The sequence below is a fragment of the Homo sapiens genome, chromosome 11 (assembly GCF_000001405.40).
Source record: "Homo sapiens chromosome 11, GRCh38.p14 Primary Assembly".
Taxonomy (NCBI): Eukaryota; Metazoa; Chordata; class Mammalia; order Primates; family Hominidae; genus Homo; species Homo sapiens.
The window spans coordinates 10417156-10431259 of NC_000011.10; the positions used below are offsets into that span (position 1 = coordinate 10417156).

Genomic DNA, 14104 nt, shown 5'->3' on the forward strand with positions numbered 1-14104 from the left:
ACCTACAAAGGGCTCCTTACTGCCAAAAGTCATTGATTCCCCATCCTTCTGGTCTACCATTAAACATCTGTAGCCACTTAGGGTTTTGACTTTTAACTATTTCTTGACCACATACCTCCATTACCCTCCAGAGAGCACCCTTTTAGAAATAAATGTAATAGTTACTACATTTGTTCAATGATTTACAGTCAACAGAGCACTTTAGTATATTCACATGTATTATCTCATTTCCATACTTTCTTTTTTTAAGCAAACATAAAATAATTTTATCAGATACAACAAAAATTAAAACATAACAAAAGTATCACATATAATGTTATATTCCCATTTAAATATAACATAGAAAAATACTACAAAATAAGAAATACAAAACCAAAACCTAGATAAGATTTTATTTATTATGATGGGTGTGCTTGCCTGTTCATAAGTTCATTCCAGTCTGGAACACAGGAAGATAATGCTACCCACATAGCTGCTGCACCATTTGATCCATTCCTTTCTGTTGCTTTTAACTGAGTTAAGATAGAAAACCCTAGTTCACACAAACTAGTTGTTGTGAATGGTAGTAATAGTAGGACACTCTTTCTACTTAACAAAGGAAAGTCTTCCTTTACCTTAATTCAAAATGCTGATAAATTTAAGGTCTCATAATCATTCTTCAATGTATATGAAGAACTAAACTAAGATAATTCATTCTCTTCTTCAGGCACCAGTTATTAACTAAGCCCAGTTATTGATTCTGGGTTTCAAAAAGCAAACTGATTGTTTTTTTTTTTTTTTGAGACGGTCGCCAGGCTGGACTGCAGTGGCACGATCTCGGCTCACTGCAACCTCTGCCTCCTAGGTTCAAGTGATTCACCTGCCTCAGCCTTCCAAGTAGCTGGGACTAGAGGCGCACACCACTACACCCAGCTAATTTTTGTATTTTTAGTAGAGACGGGGTTTCACCATGTTGGCCAGGATGGTCTTGATCTCCTGAGCTCGTGATCTGCCCGCCTCAGCCTCCCACAGTGCTGGGATTACAGGCGTGAGCCAGGGCACCTTGCCGCAAGCGGATCTTTTACCCAACTATTTTCCCTGAATGTTTCAAATTTTTCTTCTGGAAAGAAATGGTTAAAAATTTGAGATAGAGAAGTGAGATTCAACAATGTCTCTAATTTTATTTCTTTCAAAATGTTTCCATTAATAATATTCTCTTCAATATGTTGCAAAAATCTTGGAAACGTAGTAGCTAGGACAGTTACTTGTAAGTCTTGCTTGCCATAACAATAATGTCTTTCGAAATCCCTGGATATGTCTGACATGTTGGAATACATCACTGTTTTTCCCCCGTGGTTTTAAATTCAGTTTATTAAGAATACCAAAAATACCAGTTAAATATGCCAATTTTTTTATCCAAATGTCATCTTCAAAAATATTTGCCAAATGAGATTTTTTTCAATGAGAAAAAAAGTCAATCTGATTCCTGAGCTCATAAACCCTGCTTAGTATTTTCCCTTGAGACAACCAACGAACTTTGGTATGACACAGAAAGTGGGTATGGTTAGTTCCAATCTCTGAACAAAACGTTTCAAGAAGCTGGTTATTCAGTGAGTTTCCTTTAATAAAACTGACAACTTCACTGCATTTTTCAGTACTTCCATGAGATACTGTGGAATTTCTCTGGATGCTAAACCTTCATGATGTATAAAACAATGATTCCACACAGTACAACTATTAGTCACTTCTAGTAATTTTTTAATGACTCTGCTGTGTTTTCCAGTTACTTTTGCTGTGACGTCACCTGCAATTCCTTTACAGTTTTTCCAGTTTAATTTATATTGACCAACTCTGTGCCTTTCTAATCCTGTAAACATATCTAATCTACTTGGGTATGAGGTTAAACTTAAAAAACACAAAAGACCCTCCATAAAATCATCTTTCCACGCATATCGGACATAAACTGAATGTCTTGTGCAGCTGCCAATATCATCAGTGCTTTCATCACACTGCTTTGCAAAATCTATACCAGACTGTTATGGAGTAATAAGCATTGTTTCTAAACGTTCTGCAATACTACAAATCCAAAGAGATAATTGTGTTATCATTAGATATAGTTTTTAATTTATCAGCTAATTTCTCATCAAAAATCATATGCATTGTATCCAAACATGCTGGAAGAATAATTTTTTCAGCAGCTGTGTTAGCTATGTTCTTTTTGCCACATGATATGCAACTAAATATGATGATACGGCTCTCTCACTAACAGTAGTAGAACAACTAAGAAATTGTGTTGATCATTTTATGTCTTCTTTCTTTCTTCGAAAATATTCAAGAGGCTTATCAATAAGTTCAGCATGCTGAATTTCTAAGTGCCTTTTTAATTTAGGTTTTAAGCTTTCATTTGCAAGAATATTATTACAAATAACACACTGAGGTCTGTCATTTTCAGTGGGCTTTTCACATTTGATAAAGCCATATTTTAAGTAATCATAATAGCGTCTTGCACTTAAGTTTTTCTTTTTGAAATGAGGCTCAAATGAAGTTTCAGTTTGCAGATTAGAGTCTGTATTTTTCTCAGTATTGTCACTATTCACACTTCCAAATTCAACAGATGAACTTCAGCATGCTTCTGTATATTTCATTTCATGATTCCTCTTTCTTTTAATAAAGAAATTATGCATTTAATAGCAATTTTTTCCAGTTTGATTAAAATGGTATAATTGGTACTAACTCAAAAAAGAAGAAAAAAATACACATATATATAGTTTAAATGACATCTTTTCAAAAACTACACTCAAAGTTTGCAATTGAATCTCAGTTGACTATCTCCAGTTTCAAGTCATTGTAATATAAAACTTGACTGCACAACATTCACTTTGCTAATATGAAAACCAAGCGAGACACCCAAGAGCAAATGACTGAAAACCACTTCTTAGCCAACATACATTGTATTCATCATATCCCCTCCATCAAATACCTTTCTCACATATTGAAATTGACCTCACTATTCCTTGCAACATGCACAATTCAGGCAAAGGATCCATGCAAAGCACTTTGATATTTTACACTTTTTAAGTTATACTTTAAGTTCTGGGATACATGTGCAAAATGTGCAGGTTTGTTACATACGTATACACATGCCATGTTGATTTGCTGCACCCATCAACCCGTCATCTACATTAGATATTTCTCCTAATGCTATCCCTCCCCCATCCCCCCACCCCAACAGGCCCCAGTGTGTGATGTTCTCCTCCCTGTGTCCATGTGTTCTCATTGTTCAACTCCCACTTATGAGTGAGAATATGTGGTGTTTGGTTTTCTGCTCCTGTGTTAGTTTGCTGAGAATGATGGTTTCCAGCTTCATCCATGTTCCTGCAAAGGACATAAACTCATCCTTTTTTATGGCTGCATAGTATTCCATGGTGTATATGTGCCACATTTTCTTTATCCAGCCTATCATTGATGGGCATTTGGGTTGGTTCCAAGTCTTTGCTATTGTGAACAGTGCTGCAATAAACATACGTGTGCATGTGTCTTTACAGTAGAATGATTTATAATCCTTTGGGTATATACCCAGTAATGGGATCACTGGGTCAAATGGTATTTCTGGTTCTAGATCCTTAAAGAATCGCCACACTGTCTTCCACAATGGTTGAACTAATTTACACTCCCACTAACAGTGTAAAAGCATTCCTATTTCTCCACATCCTCTCCAACATCTGTTGTTTCCTGACTTTTTAATGATCACCATTCTAACTGGTGTGAGATGGTATCTCATTGTGGTTTTGATTTGCATTTCTCTAATGACCAGTGATGATGAGCATTTTTTCATATGTTTATTGGCCACATAAATGTTTTCTATTGAGACGTGTCCTATTCATATCCTTCGCTGACTTTTTGATGGGGTTGTTTTTTCTGAGGGTTGCCTGTTTACTCTGATGATAGTTTCTTTTGCTGTGCAGAAGCTCTTTAGTTTAATTAGATCCCATTTGTCAATTTTGACTTTTGTTGCCATTGCTTTTGGTGTTTTAGACATGAAGTCGTTGCCCATGCCTATGTCCTGAATGGTATTGCCTAGGTTTTCTTCTAGGGTTTTTATGGTTTTAGGTCCTACATCTAAGTCTTTAATCCATCTTGAGTTAATTTTTGTATTAGGTGTAAGGAAGGGGTCCATTTTCAGTTTACTGCATATGGCTAGCCTGTTTTCCCAACACCATTTATTAAATAGGGAATCCTTTCCCCATTGCTTGTTTCTGTCAAGTTTGTCAAAGAGCAGATGGCTGTAGATGTGTGGCATTTATTTCTGAGGCCTCTGTTCTGTTCCGTTGGTCTATATGTCTGTTGTAGTACCAGTACCATGCTGTTTTGGTTACTGTAGCCTTGTAGTATAGTTTGAAGTCAGGTAGTGTGATGCTTCCAGCTTTGTTCTTTCTGCTTAGGACTGTCTTCACTATATGGGCTCTTTTTTGGTTCCAAATGAAATTTAAAGTAGTTTTTTCTAATTCTGTGAAGAAAGTCAATGGTAGCTTGTTGGGGATAGCATTGAACCTATAAATTACCTTGGGCAGCATGGCCATTTTCACGGTATTGATTCTTGCTATCCATGAGCATGGAATGTTTTTCTATTTGTTTGTGTCGTCTCTTATTTCCTTGAGCATTGGTTTGTAGTTCTCCTTGAAAAGGTCCTTCACATCCCTCGTAAGTTCTATTCCTAGGTATTTTATTCTCTTAGTAGCAATTGAGAATGGGAGTTCACTCATGATTTGGCTCTGTTTGTCTATTATTGGTGTATAGGAATGCCTGTGATTTTTGTACACTGATTTTGTGTCTTGAGACTTTGCTAAAGTTTCTTATCAGCTAAGGAGATTTTGCGCTGAGATGATGGGGTTTTCTAAATGTACAATCATGTCATCTGCGAAGAGAGACAATTTGACTTCCTCTCTTGTTATTTGAATACCCTTTATTTCTTTCTCTTGCCTGATTGCCCTGGCCAGAACTTCCAATACTATGTTGAGTAGGAGTGGTGAGAGAGGGCATCCTTGTCTTGTGCCGGTTTTCAAAGGGAATGCTTCCAGTTTTTGCCCATTCAGTATGATATTGCCTGTGGGTTTGTCATAAATAGCTCTTATTATTTTGAGATACGTTCCATCAATACCTAGTTTATTGAGAGTTTTTAGCATGAAGGGGTGCTGAATTATATCAAAGGCCTTTTCTGCATCTATTCAGATAATCATGTGTTTTTTGTCATTGGTTCTGCTTATGTGATGGATTACATTTATTGATTTGCATATGTTGAACCAGCCTTGCATCCCAGCTATGGAGCCAACTTGATCGTGGTGGATAAGCTTTTGGATGTGCTGCTAGATTTGGTTTGCTGGTATTTTATTGAGGATTTTCCTATCAATGTTCATCAGGGATATTGGCCTGAAATTTTCTTTTTCTGTTGTGCCTCTGCCAGGTTTTGGTATCAGGATGATGCTGGCCTCATAAAATGAGTTAGGGAGGAGTCCCTCATCTTCTATTGTTTGGAATAGTTTCAGAAGGAATGGTACCAGCTCCTCTTTGTCCCTCTGGTAGAATTTGGCTGTGAATCTGTCTGGTTCTGAGCTTTTTTTGGTTGGTAGGCTATTCATTACTGCCTCAATTTCAGAACTTGTTATTGGTCTATTCAGGGATTTCACTTCTTCCTGGTTTAGTCTTGAGAGGGTGTATGTGTCCAGGAATTTATCCATTTCTTCTAGATTGTTTAGTGTATTTGCGTAGAGGTGTTTATAGTATTCTCTGTTGGTAGTTTATATTTCTGTGGGATTAATGGTGATATCCCCTTTATCATTTTTTATTGCTTCTATTTGATTCTTCTGTCTATTCTTCTTTATTAGTCTGGCTAGTGGTCTATCTATTTTGTTGATCTTTTCAAAAAACTGGCTCCTAGATTCATTGATTTTTTTGAAGGGTTTTTTGTGTCTCTATCTCATTGCTGCTCTGATCTCAGTTATTTCTTGTCTTCTGCTAGGTTTTGAATTTGTTTGCTCTTGCTTCACTAGTTCTTTTAATTGTGATGTTAGGGTGTCGAGTTTAGATCTTTCCTGCTTTCTCCTGTGGCCATTAAGTGCTATAAATTTCCCTCTAAACACTGCCTTAGCTGTGTCCCAGAGATTCTGGTATGTTGTGTGTCTGTTCTCATTGGTTTCAAAGAACTTATTTATTTCTGCCTTAATTTTGTTATTTACCCAGTAGGCATTCAGGAGCAGGTTGTTCAGTTTCTATGTAGTTGTGCAGCTTTGAGTGAGTTTCTTAATCCTGAGTTCTAATTTGATTTCACTGTGGTCTGAGAGACTGTTTGCTATGATTTCCATTCTTTTGCATTTCCTGAGGAGTGTTTTATTTCCAATTATGTGGTCTATTTTAGAATAAGTGTGATGTGGTACTGAGAAGAATGTATATTCTATTGATTTGGGGTGGAGAGTTCTGTAGATGTCTATTAGGTCTGCTTGGTCCAGAGCTGAGTTTGAGTCCTGAATATCTTTGTTAATTTTCTGTCTCGTTGATCTGCCAGTGGGGTGTTAAAGTCTCCCCCTATTATTGTGTGGGAGTCTAAGTCTCTTTGTAGGTCTCTAAGAACTTTATGAATCTGGGTGCTCCTGTATTGGGTGCGTATATATTTAGGCTAGTTAGCTCTTCTTGTTGCGTTGATCCCTTTAACATTATGTAATGCCCTTCTTTGTCGCTTTTGATCTTTGTTGGTTTAAAGTCTGTTTCATCAGAGACTAGGATTGCAACCCCTGCTTTTTTTTTTTTTCTTTCCATTTGCTTGGTAAATATTCCTCCATCCCTTTATTTTGAACCTATGTATGTCTTTGCAAGTGAGATGAGTCTCCTGAATACTGATGCGTCTTGACTCTTCATCCAATTTGCCAGTTTGTGTCTTTTAATTGGAGCATTTAGCCTGTTTACATTTAAGGTTAGTATTGTTATGTGTGAATTTGATTCTGTTATTATGATGCTAGCTGGTTATTTTGCCCGTCAGTTGATACAGTTTCTTCATAGTGTCGATGGTCTTTACAATTTGGTATGTTTGCAGTGGCTGGTACTGGTTGTTCCTTTCCATGTTTAGTGCTTCCTTCAGGAGCTCTTGTAAGGCAGGCCTGGTGGTGACAAAATCTCTCAGCATTTGCTTGTCTGTAAAGGATTTTATTTCTCTTTCGCTTATGAAGCTTAGTTTGGCTGATATGAAATTCTGGGTTGAAAATTCTTTTCTTCAAGAATGCTGACTATTGGCCCCCACTCTCTTCTGGCTTGTAGGGTTTCTGCAGAGAGATCTGCTGTTAGTCTGATGGGCTTCCCTTTGCGGGTAACCCAACCTTTCTCTCTGGCTGCCCTTAACATTTTTTCCTTCATTTCAACCTTGGTGAATCTGAGGATTATGTGTCTTGGGGTTGCTCTTCTTGAGGAATATCTTTGTGGTGTTCTCTGTATTTCCTGAATTTGAATGTTGACCTGTCTTGCTAGGGTGGGGACGTTCTCCTGGATGATATCCTGAAGAGTATTTTCCTACTTGGTTCCATTCTCCCTGTCACTTTTAGGTACATCAATCAAATGTAGGTTTTGTCTTTTCACATAGGTCCATATTTCTTGGAGGCTTTGTTTATTCCTTTTCATTCTTTTTTCTCTCATCTTATCTTCACACTTTATTTCATTAAGTTGGTCTTCAATCTCTGATATCTTTTCTTCCGCTTGATTGATTCGGGTATTGTTACTTGTGTGTGCTTCACGAAGTTCTTGTGCTGTGTTTTTCAGCTCATTTATGTTCTTCTCTAAACTGATTATTCTAGTTAGCAATTTGTCTAACCTTTTTTCAAAGTTCTTAGCTTCCTTGCATTGGGTTAAAACATGCTGCTTTAGCTTGGAGGAGTTTGTTATTACATACCTTCTGAAGCCTACTTCTGTCAATTGGTCAAACTCATTCTCCATCCAGTTTTATTCCCTTGCTGGGCGAGGAGTTGTGATCCTTTGAAGGAGAAGAGGCATTCTGGTTTTTGGAATTTTCAGCCTTTTTGCACTGATTTTTCCTCATCTTTGTGGATTTATCTACCTTCAGTCTTTGATGTTGGTGATCTTCAGATGGGGTTTTGGCGTGGACGTCCTTTTTGTTTATGTTGATGGTATTCCTTTCTGTTTGTTAGTTTTCCTTGTAACAGTCAGGCCCCTTTGCTGCAGATCTGCTGGAATTTGCTGGAGGTCCACTCCAGACCCTGTTTTCCTGGTTATCACCAATGGAGGCTGCAGCACAACAAAGATTGCTGCCTGTTTCTTCCTCTGGAAGCTTCGTCCCAGAGGGGCACCCACCAGAGGTCAGCTGGAGCTCTCCTGTAGGAAGTGTCTGTCCATCCCTGCTGGGAGGTGTCTCCCAGTCAGGAGGCACAGGGGTCAGGGACCCACGTGAGGAGGCACTCTGTCCCTTAGCAGAGCTCAAACGCTGTGCTGGGAGATCTGCTGCTCTCTTCAGAGCTGGCAGGCAGGAACGTTTAAGTCTGCTGAAGCTGCGCCCACAGCCGCCGCTTCCCCCAGATGCTCTGTCCCAGGGAGATGCGAGCTTTAACTATAAGCCTCTGACTAGGGCTGCTGCCTTTCTTTCAGAGATGCCCTGCCCAGAGAGGAGGAATCTAGAGAGGCAGTCTGGCTACAGCAGCTTTGCCGAGCTGTGGTGGGCTCCATCCAGTTCAAACTTCCCTGTGGCTTTGTTTACACTATGAGGGGAAAACTGCCTACTCAAGCCTCAGTAATGGTGGATGCCCCTCCCCCAACCAAGCTCAAGCATCCCAGGTAGACTTCAGACTGCTGTGCTGGCAGCAAGAATTTCAAGTCAGTGGATCTTAGCTTGCTGGGCTCTGAGGAGGTAGGATCCGCTGAGCTAGACCACTTGGCTCCTAGGCTTCAGCCCCCTTTCCAGGGGCGTGAATGGTTCTGTCTCACTGGTGTTCCAGGTGCTGCTGGGGTATGAAAAAACTCCTGCAGCTAGCTTGGTGTCTTCCCAAATGGCTGCCCAGTTTTGTGCTTGAATCCCAGGGCCCTGGGGGTGTAGGCACCCGAGGGAATCTCACCTGGGTTGCGAAGACTGTGGGAAAAGTGTAGTATCTGGGCTGGAGTGCACCGTTCCTCATGGCACAGTCCCTCACGGTTTCCCTTCACTAGGGGAAGGAGTTCCCCAACTCCTTGTACTTCCTGGATGAGGTGACACCCCACCCTGCTTCAGCTTGTCCTCTGTGGGCTGCACCCGCTGTCTAACCAGTCCCAGTGAGATGAGCTGGATACTTCATTTGGAAATGCAGAAATCACCTGCCTTCTGTGTTGATCTCACTGGGAGCTGCAGACTGGAGCTGTTCCTATTCCACCATCTTGCCAGCCACCTACATTTATTTTTTTTTTTAAGTTTATTGTGACTCACAGAATTAATTTCATGCCTCACTAATGGGTCACACACATAGTATAAAAAATACTCATAGAGAGACATGTTGTGCCCTTTGCTGTGTTGGTGCCTCGAGTATGTCAGCTTGATGATGAAAGAGACTAGCTGATCTGCTAGACTGTTGACTCGTATAAGAATATCTTGAAGTGGTAGGAATGTATCTTAAATTTTCATTCCTGATACTTTTTCATGGGAAGCGTTTTTAAGAGTGCCAGCTATGCTCTGATCTAGTGAGGAGCCAATGAGGTTTTCCATGGCTAGGTCAAATATCAGGTTGGAGCTGATGATATATTTTTATGGAACTCTCCTGGAGTGCATCCTTGACCTCCAGCTCAGCTGCTGCGACCCGGCTAGGCCCAGGACCACAAGCCTCACATCTCTCCAGTGGAGCTGCCATTGGCCTTGCCCCCGATTCCCTCTGAAACACCACGTCCCCATACTCTCTTCTAATTTCTTTTGCAAAGAAGACTGAAAGCCAGCTTATCTAGTAGGCACATTAGGGACCAGCCCTATAAAAAAGTATTAATTTTAATTTCTTTTAAAAATAGAAAAAAATGAATATAAAATATATAACAACGAACCCAAACTGGATTATATTTGTCTTTATACTCATGAATTCATAAAATATAATTTTAAGTATTATTTTATGGAGGAAGGAGCTCAGAAAGACAAACGTATTGGGGACTCACAAAAGCCATAAATAATTTGGCCCTGATATTGGCCCTGATAGGACCCTGACTCATTGGCCATTTTGGTGCATTGACTTGCTGTGTAAATTTGGATATGTTTCTTAATATAAGGGTTTTTTTTTTCTGCCAGAAAAATGGGAAGAAAAATTTCTGTACCCGCTTATTTCCCAGGGCTTTTGTTAAGACAAAGGTAATAACTCTGACAGTGTCTAAACTTTTCAGAAGATTGGTTTATATAATAGGACTATTTCAATTGCACATAACAGGTATCCATCTCAAATCAACATAGAAAGAAAGGAAATATATTGGTGATCATAACTGAAAACTCTAGGTTTCAGCTTTAAGTGTAGCTGGCTCAGGAAACCCAAAAATTTTGCCAGGAATCTGTTTCTCTCTTTTCCTCTCTTGTGGGCCTGCTTCTCTCTATGATGAATTTCTTTCCTAGCACACTTTTCCCACATGTTGAAAGAATCTCAAAGACTCCAGGTTTTCAGAATCCTTAAGCTTGTGACCTCAGAAGAAGAGACTCCTCCTAGAGCCCCCCCTGTTCCTCAGAGGACTCCAACTGCTCATTGCTTGGGCATCTTGGACATCCCTGTGTCCAGGGGATGGGTCTTCTGTCTGGCCAGCTTGTCATATTTGCCCCTCTTCCTCCCTATTACTTGAGTGGCAGTCCCACAAGTCTCCCTTGGAAGCAAGGGCAGAACCATTTCTAAGTGAAGAAACACAAGCAGACCAAATAACATGTCCATTCCAGGGCTGATCAGTCTGAGGCATTGTTAAAATTATCCCTCTTGCAGGACGTTAGAACCAATTGAGATTCATTCAGAACCTCTACTTAATTTTCCAGATGTGAGTTCTGTGTGTGACCATCAGGGTTTAGTAGATACTGCACAGACTCATTTAATTGTCACAAAACCTGTGAGGCAATTATTAGCTCTACTTCTACAGATAATAAATGTAAAAAATTATTGAGAGCTTGCCATAAACTAAGCACTTTGCTAAAAACCCTACATATATCTAATAAAAATTCCATGAGGTGCTGAGTCTGTTGAGGTTCTTTAGATTGTAAGCAACAGAAACCAAATCTAGCTAGTCAGGAAAAGAACAAATGAATTGAAAGGATGATAGAGTATCTAATGGATACCCTGTCAGAGGAAGGATTGAACAATCAAAACTTGGAAGGACAAGAACCCATTCTTGCCTGATCTTGTCCCCTTAGGAGGTGAATTTGGGGTTAAACCTGGTGCAGCACTGCTAGCTCCTAGCCCCTATTATCACTCTGTTCCAAATACCACGTTTCAGGGTGGGAGAATCTGATTGGCCTATCTTGGGTCAGGTGTATATCCCTGGACCAATCAGGTTGAAGGACCCTGTAACATAGGCATGGCCACCAGGCTCTCTCAGGTTTATATAGGAGCTGTGCTCAGAGAAATGGAATCCCTGTGAGCTGATTGGTCACTCAAAGGGAGATAACTGCAAGCACACAATTCTATCACTCAGGGCTTTGGCACATTGAAAAGTGGGTAATTGAAGAGCATTTAATGAGGGGATTAAGTGAGAAGAGTTTAGGGAAAGCAACAAAGGATGTTGCAGTATCTTGGGGCTAGTGAGTATGGGAGCTGTTACCATCCCAGGCCTGAAGGGGAAAGAGGAGGTAGTGGCTTCTGGAACCTATGGAAAGAGCTGTCAAAAGGCTGCCTGAAAGTAGTTTCAGTCTCTGGGAGAGGGTCATAACCAACCCTTAGCAACCCAGTGGTGTGGGTACCAGGGGAATAAGCACCAAGATGTCACTCTCCTCCCACCTTCCCATTTCATGGGTGCAACTAGAAGCCAGAGGGCAAAGGAGTCCCTGGATGTGGTTCATATAGGCCATCCTCCTGGGACACAGGTCAGGGTAGAGAGGAATGAGAGCACATATGGAAGGGCAAATAGAAGACATCCAAGACAATAATACAAATCCCAGTTTACAGATGAATAATCTAAGGCTTGAAGGACTTAGTGACTTCTTTAGATTCACACAATCAACTCAAGGGAGGAGCTAGGACTTGAACTCAGCAAGTCTGACTCTGGAACCTGTGCTCTTAACCACTAGGCTCTATCATCTCTCGGATGAAGACCCTGAATTCAGACAGCAGATTGACTGTGCACAGCTCAGATGAATTACGTTATCTCACTGATCCCCTTGTAGTATCACCTCTTAGCTGCGGCAACAACAAGAGCTCCTAGTCCTGCTTCCCAGAATGGTGCTGGAAGATTCACACTTGCCATTTTCCCTCTAGACTCTCCCACTGGGATTCGCAGATCTACAGAGTGGTTTGAAATATCAGAGGCAGCCCAAGTAGAGTCCAAGCTTCTTGCCACCAGGCAGGCAGCTCTACTCTCCTGTGAGTAGGGATATGATTGAGATTTAAATTGAACTTCAATTAAGTCTCTCCTCTCTTAGTCCTCAGGGGGGCATTCTCATGCCTGGACTAATGCACTTCTGAGAGCTAATACCATTATCAGATGCCTGTTCATCTCATATAAGTAGGCCTATTAGCGCCTCATCTGTCTTGCCTCCTGTTTCCTGCCACTGCTTAGAGCCCCCAGACAAGAGCACTTCCAATCAGGTATGCAGAGGGAAATATCATTAACAGTTATAATATTATCTGTATGGTTTTATTTCATGTCCCATTATTTTCTAGCTCTTTAGCTAATAATAGGTTATATCTGTTATACATTTAATGTATGCTAGGTACTGCACTGAAATGTCTCATTTCATGTTGACAATAAACCTAGGAGGTAGGTAATATTTAATCCCCACTTTACAGATGAAGAAACCGAAGCTTATAGGGCTTAAGTATGCCTAAGGTGACATAATTAATAGACAGCAGATCCAAGATTTGAACCCAGATGGACTGGCTCCAGAGCTAAAACCACTTAATCATGATGCTTCTTAGAACCCTACATGGCCTGTATTCATAAAATAGTTGACTCTAGACACTCTTCTCCCCTTTCAAAGTGAAATTTTGATTTGTTTATGGAATGGGGTGTGGTGGAGACTACTAGTGATCACCAAATACCAATGTGTTCCTATAAAGTCCCTATTTCTGTTGCAGTTGATTTGGAGTTATGTGATGTGTAGCCCATCAGAAGTAAGCAGAAAACTTTGTGCCGTTTTCTATCCTGGAAATAACACCCCCGCCCCCTGGCCCCGCTGCATTATCAGCCACTCCTCTTCACTCCTTTCTATGGCTCCAGAAGTGAAGAGCTCTGAAATGCCTAAATTGCCAGATGGGAACATCTTTACTGCTTGGAGAAAGCCACACAGGAGTTACCTGACCTGCCTTGGATGGTGACATGAGTGAGAAATAAACCTTTGTTGGGTTAGACTGCTAAGATTTAAACTTAAAAGTGTTTTTTTAATGTTTAGTTTTTGTGGCTACATAGTAGGTGTATATGTTTATGGGGTATATAGGATCTTTTGATATGTGCATACAATGTATAATAGTCACATCAGGGTAAATGGAGTATCATCACCTCAAACATTTATTCTTTCTTTGTGTTACAAACAATCCCATTACACAGTTTTAGTAATTTAAAATATATAATTAAATTATCGTTAATGATAGCCACCCTGTTGTACTGTCAAATTCTAGATCTTATTTCTTTCTATTTTTTGTACCCACTGATGAATCTCTCTTCCCCCTCACCCCACCAACTACCCTTCCAGCCCTCAGTAACCATCATTCTGCTCTCTATCTCCATGATTCAATTGTTTTAGTTTTTAGCTCTCACAAATAAGTGAGAACATGTGAAATTTGTCTAACTGTGTCTGGCTTATTTCACTTAACATAATGACCTCCAGTTCTATCCATATTTTTGCAAATGACAGGATCTCATTTATTTAATGACTGAATAGTACTCCATTGTGTATATGTATTACATTTTCTTTATCCCTTTGTCTATTGATGGACACTTAGGT

The 14104-nt window shown here is 40.0% G+C and overlaps 1 long non-coding RNA gene across 1 annotated transcript in view; it reads left to right on the top strand.

Annotated features, from left to right (window-relative positions):
* CAND1.11 (uncharacterized LOC100130460) overlaps window positions 1-13518 on the top strand; it is a 122361-nt gene extending 108843 nt beyond the window's left edge. Inside the window, exon 4 of the long non-coding RNA NR_103765.1 lies at window positions 13221-13518. This is a non-coding gene — a long non-coding RNA (uncharacterized LOC100130460). The remainder of the gene's footprint in view (window positions 1-13220) is intronic.
* The last annotated feature ends 586 nt before the right edge of the window (window positions 13519-14104 follow it).